Source organism: Homo sapiens, chromosome 5 (genome assembly GCF_000001405.40).
Source record: "Homo sapiens chromosome 5, GRCh38.p14 Primary Assembly".
NCBI classification, from domain to species: domain Eukaryota; kingdom Metazoa; phylum Chordata; class Mammalia; order Primates; family Hominidae; genus Homo; species Homo sapiens.
In genome coordinates this window covers 176,669,314-176,682,359 of record NC_000005.10, presented here as the reverse complement: position 1 = coordinate 176,682,359, position 13,046 = coordinate 176,669,314, and the positions used below count along the sequence as shown (strand labels likewise).

The following is a 13,046-nucleotide window of genomic DNA, read 5'->3' as shown; positions in this document are numbered from 1 at the left end:
AAGATAGGATCCCCACAGAGTCTATGGGTCATGAGATTTGGCGGGAAGGCCTCTGAGCTGACCAGTCTCATCTAAGACCAGTTGATTGGTCCCATCTGGAGGGCATAGCTGGGGTAGGGTGGGGGTCAGAGCTGGGCTACAGCAGGACAAGAAGGCTGGGGCAGGGGAGACAGAGGGTCCCTGCGGATCTACTGTAGGGCAGGAGGTGATGGTGCTGTAGATGGCACTCAGTTTCTTTCCACTTTTTTTCTTTTTCTTTTTCTTTTTCTTTTTCTTTTTCCACTTAAGAAAAAGCTGTAATGAGACAGCCTATGGAACAGCAAGATTGATTGTGTCGTTCTGGCCTTTGAGGGAAGAAGGGGGAAAAAATCAAATTATCGGACAGGGTCCTTTTAAGAAGCTGCGGCTTTAATTTATTTTCTTATATTTTGTCAATAGCTGTTGTTTTTTTCTTAAACAAGTGCTGCACTTTATAAATGGATTTGCTTGGGCAAAACAAACACAGTCATTTCATACTTTTCCTTCCCTCTAAAACTTACTTAAAATACGGTGAGTGGCTAAGATGGACCCCCAGGGCCTGACCACCACTCAGAAAGGTGACCCGTGGCTTTAGAAAGACACCCGGCCCTGGGAGGCGGGACAGGAAGAGGGATGGATGCAGCAGCAGACCCGTGGCAGATAATCACTTCCCCGCCATGCAGCTTTTGGGGGCTCCAAAATCTCCTGGGAGAACTTTTTTGGTTTTTTTTGAGACGGAGTTTGTCTCTGTCGCCAGGCTGGAGTGCAGTGGCACGACCTCGGCTCACTGCAAGCTCCGCCTCCCGGGTTCAAGCGATTCTCCTGCCTCAGCCTCCCTAGCAGCTGGGATTACAGGCGCGCGCCACCCTGTCCGGCTAATTTTTGTATTTTTAGTAGAGACTGGGTTTCACCATGTTGGCCAGGCTGGTCTCCATCTCCTGACCTCGTGATCCGCCCGCCTCCGCCTCCCAAAGTGCTGGGATTACAGGCGTGAGCCACCGCGCCCAACCGGCAACATTTTTAAAGCACAGATTGCCCCACCCACCGGTGAAGAGTCTGATTTCCTGGGCCTGGAGGGTGGCCCCAGACTTGGGGTGTTTAAAGCTCAGGTGACTGGATAGTAAAGCAGCCAGGAAGCTCAAATTCCAGCCCCTCAGCCTGGCCTTCCTGCCACCCCTGGGCAGCCACGCTGCCCTGGTCCCCACTCCACCCCAAGTGCCCTGGACTCCTTCAGGGGCCCCCAGCTTCTGCACCTCTGCTTCCTTGGCCTGCAATGTGGACTCACCTTTTCAAGTGGTTGAGTCTCATCCACTTGATTATAATTCTGGGTAGTCATCACCATCCATTCATTCATTCATCACCATCATCATTCATTCAGCTGTTCATTGAAAATTTATTTATTCAACACTTTTATATGCCAGCCTTTATGTACCAGAGTAATATACAAAGATAAAAACAAAAAGAGAGAGTCCTTGGCCTCCAGAAGCCCGTGGAACAGCTGGGCCACAGTCTCCCTTGGCCTCTGCTGTGCCCCACGCAGAGCAGGGGTCTCAAGCCCCAATGTCCCCTGGGGTCTGGCGAGGCGCTGGGTGACTGAAGAGGGCAGCCGGGCCTTCTAAACGGGGCTGCCCCCCAGGTTTGCCTTGTGGAAGGCCACCCGGTGTCGACTGCCCGTTTTTCAGGAGAAGCCAGCAGTCCAAGTATTTCCATGAACCCTGGCTTTTTAATGTGACTGGTTTTCTTTAAATCCACCCTCCCTGGGGGCCACACGGAGCTTTTCTGCCTGGACCCTCTGCTGCCGGGTCCCCAGTCTCCAATCCTCGCGGATCCCAAAGGCGGAGCTCAGGCCCCGTGGCGCAGGAGCCATCCGGGTGGGCGAGGCCCTGACCGGATGCCTTCCCCCGGGACCCGGCTCGCTCCCCTCGCCCTGCAGCTCGGCTGAGACGCCTCCCTGAGACACCGCCCCGCGCCCGGGAGCCGGCCCAGGCGGGTGGGTGCCTTTCTCCGACAGCGGCGGCTCCCGGGAGGCGCACTCCACGCCGCTGGTTCTGCGGCCTCCAGTAATAAATTGCAGCGGAGGCGAGAGTTGAGCTGCAGGGCGGGAGGTGCGGGTTGAGGCTGGAGGCTGCGACTCGAACCCCGACAGGGGACAGCGAAGTGAAGCGGGGCGGATGGACGGACAGGCTGCGGGGTACGGGGTGCGGGGCGGGCAGGGAGCTGGACCCCAGTCCCATCCTCTGAGCTGCGGGGAGGCGCTAAGGCCGGAGCAGAGCGGCACTGCAGCCTGCAGGGGTCTAAACAGGGATCCCCTAGGTCCTCCACGGATTAAACAAGATGAAGCCTGAGCCTGGCCTCTCTCTTCCTCTGCACACCCAGTCACGTCCCCAGACCCTTAGCAGGACGAGCCTTGCTCACTCACGCTTGGCGTCCGAGATGCCTCGGATATGTCCTCCTCCCGGTGTTGACAGCCTCCTGCCTGGTAGCTGGCAGAGCCCCAGGGTGACAGGGAGAGGAGCTAGCCTGGCCCTGTAAGGAGTCTGGGGATCCCAGGCAGGGGGATGTTCGGAGGGGAGCAGTGGGGCCCACGGAGACACCCACTCATCAGGTCACCAGCCACCAAGACAGCCCCTCCTAACTCCTGTGGGAGGGGCCTGGACAGAATGGATGGGGGTAACTTAGAGTCCCCATGTGCCCCCACTGAGGCAGAATGTATGTCTTGAAGCAGAGGGGTCACCAGATTGGTCCTGGGACGTGACGGGGGACCCTGGTGGTCTAAGAGGGGCATGCGGCAGGGATGGATCCTGTACCAGGCAGGACGGAGGACTATGTGGAGCCAGTGTGGAAGGCAGAGACCCCTGGGTTGTGGGTGCAGCGTTGAGGTCACACAGATGTCTGGGGAGTTTGGCCCCACTCGAGGCCTTGACCCTTCCTGGGTCCCTCCTCCACCTGAGTGCAACCACAAATGGACCAAGAACACCCCAAAATGGGCCAAATTTATCCTGAATTTACTCTAATGGGGACTCAAGACAGAAATTAAGTTTTGTTTTAGAAAACCTTAGCAGGGATTTTGCACCCCCAAGATGGGTTTGTGACCTTGGAGACTCTGCCCCACACCAGGCACAGAGTTCTCAGTAGCATTCGGTGTCCAGGCAGGGACTGCTGAGCCTCTGCTCTGTGCTGGGCCCTGGCTTGGGAAGGAGCGCAACAAGGTCCCTGCTCTTGGCGGCTGATATCAGAGGAGGAGATGGTCAGTTAAAGTAGCTCAGGAGCTCATCTCGGATGGTGGTGAGTGCTGGGAAGAAACGCAGACATAGGGAAGGCCCTGGGACAGGACTGGGGACTGCTTTAAAGGGAGCCAAGTTGGCCTCTCTGAGTAGGGCCACTGGGCTGAGCCTCAGATGAGAGGAGCTGAAGGTGAAGGTCAGAGGAGAAGGCACCCCAGGGAAGTGAGCAGCAGGTGCAAAGGGCCTGGCAGGGGCCTGGGCCCAGCTTGGGGAGATCAGCAAGGAGGGGCCCACGGGCGCTCACTGCTCAGCTCAGCCATCTTGGCAGACAGCCAGCTTCCCTCGGCCAACAGTTCCAACAAGGGTGCAAGAATATAGCCCCATTGGCCAGGCCTGAAGCCAGAGGCCAGGGTCAGCACTGCCTAAACTACTGGGAGATGAAGGTTTCCCAAGTGAGAACCAGGAAGGAGAAAGATGTGGGCCAGGCAGACATGTGGAGCCCACCTTGTTTGGGGTGAGGACCGGAGGCTCCGATTGCTTAGGGAATATGCCCAGGAACCGGAAGTGGATTCTGGCTCTTAAGTCTGCTGACCACCGCCCAGTGCCTCCTCTGAGCCTTCCTCTGTCCCAGCCTCCTCCAGGCCTCTCCCTCTCCTCTGGCCACCAGGTCACCCAGGCACCCGGGACTGCCTCTTTCCTTCCTAGTCATCACTACCTGCCCTCCCAGCTCTTGCCTGCTCCTGGCAACATCCTCACCAAAGGGGGACTTGGGGAGCAGGAAGATAGATGGCTGTGTTCACCACTCACCCAGCCCTCTCTGTTCCCCTGACACCTACCCCCAGGAGGGAGAGCGAGGAGGAAATGCTCAGGTACACACCAGTGCCCATCACATGACCAGGGACGGGGAGGAAGAGCCACCCCACCAAAGGCTGCATTCACTGTCCCTCATTCAGCCCTGGATTGTGGGTGTGAATGTTCAGGCCACTCACGCAGGTGTGCCAAAACCACCACCTTACTTTCCTACTATATGCATGCTTCCTTTCCAACCTCCGTTTTCTACTGAGTAGCAGAAAAGTCTTGAGTTCAGTTCAGCTCTGTCAGCTTCAACTCAGAAGATTCAGGGCCCCCTCCCCCATCTCTTGGACCCCACAGATCCCAGCAAATATGGGTGACATCATAAACATCAGGGGAGGTGGCAGATGGGTCATCGGTCGATGTCATCCCTGCTGGCACCCCCAAGACATACACTGGGACATGTGGTTCTTGGCTGTCATCTCTGTTCCGAGTTGGCAGCCGATGAGCTGTCTGCGTCCCCATCTGGTCTCTGCTTGTAAGGGCCAAGCAAGTTTTGGCTGTGGCCTCCTCTTGTCACAACTGGGACTCCCTTCCAGGCCCTCCTTGAGAACTTGGCCGCTCCCTACAGGGCACTGGGGCTGGGGAGCTCGCTGGGCTGTCACAGGCCCTCTGTTGAGCCACCACCGCTCACTCCCTGTCTAGAGTCTCCTGGCCTTCTCAGGGCACAGGGCACCTGGGGACCTTGCCCCTCCCAGGAAATGAGGTTCAGCCCCACCAATCCCGAGATCAGAGCTGCAGCTGCCCCTGGGGGCTTATCCTTCCCCAGGCGTACCCCCACCCAGCCCAGGAGAGCCCTCTCCCTTAGTTCCTTATATTCTTCTGTCCTCCACAGCTAGACAATGTTTAACCTCATCTGTCCATGCTGAGGGGGAGACACATGCTGTGCAGAGAGCGTTCCAAATGTACTGCATGTGGTAGGACCTGGACTTTGGAAGCTCCACAGCTAAGGTTTCCCTTCTCTTGTTTCTCTGCTTCTCTGTGCAGCCTGCATCCCTCAAGGATAGGGCCTAGTTGTTGTGGTAGTGGGGAGTGTGACAGGAACAAAACGGCCCTCACTAGGGGTGACATCACAGTGCTACCCCCTGGAAAACTGGAAGTGGGGGCAGCCCTGGGGGGATGGGTACTACAGAACTGGGTGCCCCTCTCTGGGGCAGGTCCATGAAATCAGTGAGATGCCTGGTTGGGGACCCCCTGGCAGGGGCCAGGGAAAGCTGCCCTGTCACCCAGCAGCAAGTAGACATGGAAATCAGGACCTCTGACCCAGCAGTTGGTGAACAAGACCCCGGGGCTGAATTTGGGGTGGAGGAGCCGTGCGGGGCTGGGTCTGAGCCTCTGGAGTCCTCTGTTAGGTCCCTGCTGCTCTCCTGGGCGTTCAGGAAGGCTTTGTTAAGCCCCAGCAGTGACAAAGTGTGTTCAGGGACCCAAGAAAAAGGCTGTTCATATCAGAGCCAGGATGTATAAAGGGGTAGCGTTTGTCACAGGCCCCTCAGGGATGGGCGGTATCATCATCACACCCCAGGGGGGAGAGTGAAACTCAGAAAGCACTGGTATAGGTTTAATGCAAGCAGGAGTCCCTCGAAGGGCTCCCAGCTCAACGGAGGGGCTTGCAGATTCCAGGCGATGGGCTCATTGGTCTGGTCAGGCCAGGAAGTGTGACCTGGGCCCTGGCGGCCTCCCAGACTCTGAGCCACTCAGGAGGACCAATGGGATCAGTCAAGTGTCTTTAGGTTCCAAGTGACCAAAGCTCCCCTGGGACCGTCTTAATCATGAGAGGAAATTGCTGACTCACAACTGACTGTCAAGAGGAGGCCACTCCGAGTCCCCCTGGGGCTTTGCAGGAACCACTGGGAGGGGGACTCCGAGTTCCAAGGTCAGATCAGGAAGTGGCTGAAGCTGCTCGTGTGGCCGGGGTCAGACTGAGATGAAGCCAACACAGACTCCCGACAGTCCTGGAGCCCAGAGGTGCACCAAGCTAGCTCTGCCACCTGCTTTTTTTTTTCTTTTTCTTTTTTTTTTCTTGAGACAGGGTCTGGCTCTATCGCCCAGGCTGGAGTGCCGTAGCGCGATCATGGCTTACTGCAACCTCAAAGTCCTGGGCTTAAGTGATCCTCCTGCCTCAGCCTCCCAAGCAGTTGGGACTACAGGCACATGTCACCATGCCCAACTAATTTTTTAATTTTTTGTAGCGACAGGGGTCTCGCTATGTTGCCCGGGCTGGCCTCGAACTCCAGGGCTCAAGCGATCCTCCGACTTTGGCCTTCCAAAGTGCTGGGATCACAGGTGTGAGGCACCTCACCTAGCCCCACCTGCTTTTGAAGTTTCCTCAAAAAGCGACTCCTCCCACTAGGATGACTAGAATTTAAAAGTCAGATAATGTGTGTTGGTGAGAAGTGTGAAGTCAGAACCCTCACGCCCTGCTGGTGGGAATGTGAAGTGGCTGCGGCCCTGTGGAAAACAGTCTGGCAGTTCCTGAAACAGAGCCACCAAATGGCCCAACAATTCCACCCGTAGGTACACACACCCAAGAGAAATGAAAACATATGTCCACGTTGAAACGTGTACACGAATGTTTATAGCAATGTTATTCATAGTACAAATGCTCCTCCACTTACGATAAACCCATTCTAAGTTGGAAATAATCGTAAGTTGAAGATGCATTTAAGACATCGAACGTTCTGAATATCATAGCTCACCCTAGCCTATCTTAAACGTGCTCAGAGCATTGACATGAGTTGGGCAAGATCATCTAACACAAAGCCTTTTTTATTTTTATTATTTTTATTGTGTTTTTATTTTTGTTATATATTTTTTCGATTATTATTATTATTATTTTTTGAGATGGAGTCTCACTCTGTTGCTCAGGCTGGAGCACAATGGTGCGATCTGGGCTCACTGCAAACTCCACCTCCCGGGTTCAAGTCATTCTCCTGCCTCAGCCTCCCGAGTAGCTGGGACTACAGGCACGTGCCACCACATCCGGCTGTTTTTTGTATTTTTAATAGAGACAGGGTTTCGCCATGTTGGCCAGACTGGTCTCGAACTCCTTACCTCAAGTGATCCACCCACCTTGGCGGGTTTACAGGCATGAGCCACCGCACCCGGCCCCACAAAACCTTTTTTATAATAAAGCGTTGAACATCTCATGGCAGAATGCTCGCATGGGTGCTCAGAGTACAGTTTCTCCTGAATGGATGTGGCTTTCACACCACTGTAAGGTCAAAAACCATGAAGTCAAACCATCGTAAGTCAGGGGCCATCCGAAGTCAAAAAAAGGTGAGAATAACCTAAGTGTTCATCGACTGATGAATGAATGAACAAAATGTGGTGCATCGTTCGGCCTCAGAAGGAAGGAAGTGCTGGTTATAGGCCCCAGCGCACACGATCCCTGCAAACGTGGTGCTGAATGAAGGGAGCCCGGTGCAGAAGACCACACACCATGCGCGTGCTCTCCTGTGAGATGCCCGGACCAGGAAAACCTATAGCAACAGTGCGGAGATTTGTGATCGTGGAGATAGGGTGATAGCTAAAGGGTTTCTTTTGGAGGTGATGAAAATGCTCTAAATTGACCGTGATCAAGGTGGCACATATCTGTGAATATACTAAAAACCACTGAATTGTATACTTTAAGGGGGCAAATTGTATGGTATGTGGATTACATCTCAATAACACTTTTTTTTTTGTTTTGTTTGGCTTGGTTTGGTTTTTTTGTTTGTTTGGTTGTTTAAGAAACTCCTTCTAAGTCTTGCAGCTGGACTCTTAAGAGGGTTCCGGAACCTAAGAGTCTCCCAGGATAGAGAGCCCAGTTCCCACCAGGCCACCCGCCTCCTTCCCCCACCTGCTCCCATCACATCTCTGAGGGCTGGGACCAAGTGCCATCCCATGGTGGGGGATGGGGGGCCTGAGCAGGGAGCCTCAGCCCCATACCTGGTAGGCCTTGAGTTGTCTCCCATGCTCGGAGGGAACCCCCTCCCTGTCTCTGTGCTGCTGTCAGGGAGCCAGGGCCCCTGGAGGACTCTCTATGCCCATGCTCTGCACACCCCTGCCCTGTGCTGGCACCACCCAGAGACCTGAGTTTTGCCTTTACCCTGCCCCCTTGGCTGTGCTGGCGGGCTACCCTGCCAGCCACACCAAGTGCTGCTGGTTCTCACCCAGCCCGAGCCTGCAGCCAGCCTTCACATCCCGGGTCTTGCCCGTTTGCCCTTTGCGTGCCTCCCAGGAACCTCACCCACCCCCACCCAGTGGGGTTGCACCTGGAGCTCCAGGGGTCCCCTGGAGCTCTGTGGGTCCCGCCTTCCCACTTCTGCTCTGACACCCTGTCCAGCCAGGGCTTTGCTGTTCCCCTCTCTGCCACCAACTTGCTGCCCAAGACGACCTCATGGGGAACCTTCGTGCAAGAACAGCTGCGCGCTTCCCCTCGCGGTGGCCAGCTGGCTGCAGCCCCACCACAGACACTTTGGACAGCAATGGGACAGTGTCTCCTCCAGCTGAAAATGCACCCCTCCCCACCGGAGAGTTCACTGCTCACCTGCCCTCAAGAAAGCCTTGCCCAGACCCCTCGAAGCATTCTTTGTCATTGTGAAAAGCTGGAAGCCACCCAAGGGTTCATCGGGGGGCACCGGGGGCTACAGCACAGGACAATCACAGACAGGAGCACCCCGGACAGCTCCAGGAGTGACCCAGACCCACACAAGGCTCAAAAATATGTCCAGTGAGAAAAACCAAGGAGCTGAATGAGACAGCGTGACACCTTTTAAGAAAGGGGTAAAGGGCCAGGTGTGGTGGCTCATGCTTGTAATCCCAGCACTTTGGGAAGATGGCTTGAACGCAGGAATTCAAGACCAGCCTGGGTTGTGAATACAGGGAGACCCCGCCTCTACTAAAAATGAAATTAGCCGGTGTGGTGGTGCACACCTGTAGTCCCAGCTACTCTGGAGGCTGAAGCAGGAGGATCACTTCAGCCCAGGAGGTCAAGGCTGCAGTGAACTGAGAGCACACCACTGCACTCCAGCCTGGGCCACAGAGTGAGACCTTGTCCCAAAAAACAAAAAAAAAAAAAAAAAAAAAAAAAGGGAGGGGGATGGTGGGGTGGGAATTCACAAAAGAGTATTACCTCTTTTAAGGCATCTTTATATATTTGTAAAATCAAGAGGAAAAAATCTTAACAGTTGTTACTTCTGGGAAGGGTAGAGGGCGCTGGGATTGGGGCTGATGGTCACAGGGTCTTTACCTGTGATGTTCTAGTGTTTTCAAAAGGAGAATGGATCCTTGTATGACACGTGTAATTTATCATAACCCAAGAAAGACAAAGAATTCCAACAGCTGGACCACATGCCCCTTGTGCCAGCCTCATTGCTGTTTCCCTCAAGGACCCTCCTGGCTCCCTGAAGCCCCCCCGCCCCATGCCCCGCCACACCCCCTGTCTCGCCCCCCACCCCTCACGCCTCCCTCAGTCCTCTGCCTCTCAATGGACCTAGAGCTGGAGGCTGTTAGATCTTCCATTTAAAACTCCTCTCTGTGCCCGCATTGGGGAGTTTCTTATTCCCTTTCAGATGTAACTGTCTGTCACCAATAATAGTCTTTTTCGATTTCATTTCCTTCAGCTCCTGCCAGCCACTCTGAGAGCCTCCTTCCCATCCCTGCTGCCCCCCCCAGCCCCAAGTCAAGGGAAAAAAATACATTTTTGCCTTTACTATGATGTATGCGATCCCATAAAATAGTGAAACAGATATGAAAGGTTGAGAGAAGGTAGATAAATGGCTCCTATTATTCTACCAATCAAATGAAATACCTCTCCACGTCCTCATTTGAATGATAATAAAACTCGGAGAGGCTGCTGGTTCGCTGTTGTCATTGCTGCCAGCAGCCTTGAGCCGCGGAGCCACAGGCCAAGGTAACCTTGGGGTGTCCTCTGCAGGACCTGCAGGGGCCTGCATACCCCCTACCCCATCTCCTCGCCTCCCCACTGCCTGCCCCGCACAACAGCTCTTCCCCAACCCCACCCTCCCCTTCCTGCCGCACCCCCAGGTCACCTCTGTTTGCCCAGGCCCCTGCTCCCTCCAAGGTCCACAGGGTAGAGCCAGGGCCCAAGAATCAAAACCCAGGGTCTCTCACGCAAGGAATGCCCTCCTTTCTGCCACAGCCTTGGCCCTACACTGCTCAGCCTTCCTGGCCTCCTTTGAAAGCCCCTGCCTGCCGTCCAGGTGGGTCGCCTCTTCGGGCATTCCCCAGCCCTTGCCACACACCTCAGTGACTGGACGGTAGCCTTGTGTGTGCCAGGTCTCTGCAGCTCTCTTCTAAATTCCTAGCAGGTGGGGCCAGGTGGGACTGCCAAGGCCCATGTGCTGGGCTTCTTTCGTCCCACGTAAACTTCACAAGTGTCCCCCGTGTGGAGACGCTGGATCAGAGAACAGGTGGGAAGTCCTTCCCTGGGCTGGCCACTGGGTAGGTGCCGGCCACTTCTGAGGCTCACAGTGCCGAAGCCTTCTGCTGTTTCTGCCCCTTGGAGTTCACAGTTCTGTTTCCCATGCATTTGAGTGCTTCCGGCAAGCCTCACCTGACACCACTCTCCCACTCCACCCAACCAGGGGACACTTAGGACTTTTTCCTTCCCTGCATTTCCCCCACATTTCGGGGAGCCCACTGCAGGCCAGCTTGGCAGCCTGCCAGTCATGAGACCCACCCTCCACCCTGGTGGGTACTCACCCCTCTGTGCAATTTTGAATCTCAGCAGGATTTCTTATCTGAGTGGCCACACCCTAAAGAGACTTTCCTTCAGTTCTCACCACCCAGCTCCCCAGCGTGGCCCTGACTTCTGCCCTTTCCTTCCAATTAATTCCCCCTTGCATTAAGGCAGTCAAAGTCAGGCCGGGCACTGTGGCTCACACCTGTAATCCCAACACTTTGGGAGGCTGAGGCAGGTGGATTATTTGAGGTTAGGAGTTCAAGACCAACCTGGTCAACATGGTGAAACTCCATCTCTACTAAAAATACAAAAAAAAAAAAAAAAAAAAAAAATTAACCAGGTGTGGTGGCAGGTGCCTGTAATCCCAGCTGCTTGGGAGGCTGAAGCAGGAGAATCACCTGAACCTGGGAGGCAGTTGCAGTAAGCCAAGATTGCACCAGTGCACTGCAGCTTGGGCAACAGAGAGAGACTCTGTCAAAAAAAAAAAAAAAAATAGTAGTCAAAGTCAGTTTTTGGTACCAGGACTGGCCAAAACATGGACAATGCCCCAAGTTGGTCCCCAGAGCATTGGGACTTCCTCTGTCATCTCCAAGATCTGCAACAGTGCATCTGCCTCTCCTCCATCAGGGCAGGGGCCTGTCTGGGCCCCTCTCCTCCCCTGATTTCCAGCCTCAGGGACAGTGCCGGGACCCACAGGAGATGGGGTCAATGACAATGAATGAAACTGTGGAAATGGTACCCATTTTAGAGATGAGGAAGATGAGCCCCAGAGGACAAGCAACAACTCAGCACCCAGATCTTCGTCCTCGTTCCCCGGACCTGGGGCTCTTCCCTCTGCATCAGTTGCTGTCAAGTACCAGGCTGTCCCCAGTCCAGGGCTTCCTTGAGCCAACAGATGGGCAGGAGGTGGAGTCCAGGGGAAGAGCCTGCTAAGAGACAAGCTGGTGCTGAGGCCTCAGGGGCTCGAGGGAGGGGAGCATCCACTGTGGCATGCAGGGATCGCTGAGCGCAAGCAACGGAAAGCTTCTGCGAGGCTTTGGGAGGTTGTCAGGCAGCTCACTGGATGGCTGGGACACAGAAACCTGGAAAGGGTGCAGAGCAAAGGCTGCCTAGAGCCTGCTCTGGCCATTTCTCAGTCCCTGTGTCAGTTCTCTGCACAGGGATCAAAGCCCCACCATAGAGAAGGGCCAGACAAGCCAAGCCCTCAGCATGTGGAGCTCCTCCAGAGAGTGTAAGGCCTTGGTGGCAGCTCATCCCCTGCAAATGCTAGAGGAGGATGAGCCCCCAAAGCAAAAGCCGGTGGCGTCACCTCCAGCAGGGGAATGTATTCAGGGCAGCTGAAGCCCTAGAAGCCAGCCAGCCAGCCCACCCAGCCTGTCAGTCTTGGCTGTAGCCCTGCTCAGCCTGTGAAGGGCTGCAGTGGGGCTGGGGTGCAGCCCGCTGCTGTGGCTCAGGCCCCATAATCACAGGCTTGGAGCTCAGGGATCTCAGAGGGGACTGAATCTGCACTTTGCAGCTGAGGACCTCTAGGCCCCTGGAGAGGCAATGACAGAGCCAAGGCCCTCCCACCCACCATGGGGCCACTCTGAATAGGGACCCCCAGGCCTCCCCCAGGGAAGAGATTGTGCGCCAGTGCCAGTTGCTGTGAGCCATGTGATATTCAGCAGGCCACCATAGCTCTGCTCCGAGCCCAGCTCCTTATGCATAAAATGAGGCTGCTTTGCAGGGCTACTGCAAGCATTAAGCAAGTAATAAATGTATGTGCTCCTAAGCTGACACTTAGAATGGAAATGAAAACATATGTCCACACATGGATTTGTACACGAAAGTTCACAGCAGCTTTGTTCATGATCACCAAAAACTGGAAAGAACCCAAATGCTCCATCAACTGCTGAGTGAATGGAGAAGCTGGCGTAGCCCCACAATGGAATACTCCTCAGCAACAAAAAGAACAACAGGGATGAATCTCAGCAGCGTCATGCTAAGTGACAGAAACCGGACTCAAAAGGTGGCATCTGTATGACTGCATATATGACCGGCTCTCATGCCTGGCAGTAATGTTCTGTGACATTCCCGGGAACACTGAATTCACTGGTATGGAAGCATTGCTCCCAGGGAAATGCAGAGTTAGGTTCCTGAGATCCTCTGCTCACAAGATTTTGGTCACCTGACCAATGCATACATCTGTGGCATGTGTTCTTATGTTTAAAGACACCTTATTTAATATAGAGGCTGTTGATCTGTGAGCATGAACTCATGGCCACAGA

The 13,046-nt window shown here is 54.7% G+C and overlaps 4 annotated features.

Annotated features, from left to right (window-relative positions):
• Positions 567-1,526: an enhancer, noted in NCBI's record as "H3K27ac-H3K4me1 hESC enhancer chr5:176107835-176108794 (GRCh37/hg19 assembly coordinates)". NCBI's record gives its function as "activates a minimal SCP1, AML or CMV promoter by ChIP-STARR-seq in naive H9 embryonic stem cells {active_cell/tissue: H9 hESC(naive)}" and the evidence as "EXISTENCE:reporter gene assay evidence [ECO:0000049][PMID:30033119]".
• Positions 1,527-2,487: an enhancer, noted in NCBI's record as "H3K27ac-H3K4me1 hESC enhancer chr5:176106874-176107834 (GRCh37/hg19 assembly coordinates)". NCBI's record gives its function as "activates a minimal SCP1, AML or CMV promoter by ChIP-STARR-seq in naive H9 embryonic stem cells {active_cell/tissue: H9 hESC(naive)}" and the evidence as "EXISTENCE:reporter gene assay evidence [ECO:0000049][PMID:30033119]".
• Positions 9,631-10,194: an enhancer, noted in NCBI's record as "OCT4-NANOG-H3K4me1 hESC enhancer chr5:176099167-176099730 (GRCh37/hg19 assembly coordinates)". NCBI's record gives its function as "activates a minimal SCP1, AML or CMV promoter by ChIP-STARR-seq in primed H9 embryonic stem cells {active_cell/tissue: H9 hESC(primed)}" and the evidence as "EXISTENCE:reporter gene assay evidence [ECO:0000049][PMID:30033119]".
• Positions 10,195-10,760: an enhancer, noted in NCBI's record as "H3K4me1 hESC enhancer chr5:176098601-176099166 (GRCh37/hg19 assembly coordinates)". NCBI's record gives its function as "activates a minimal SCP1, AML or CMV promoter by ChIP-STARR-seq in primed H9 embryonic stem cells {active_cell/tissue: H9 hESC(primed)}" and the evidence as "EXISTENCE:reporter gene assay evidence [ECO:0000049][PMID:30033119]".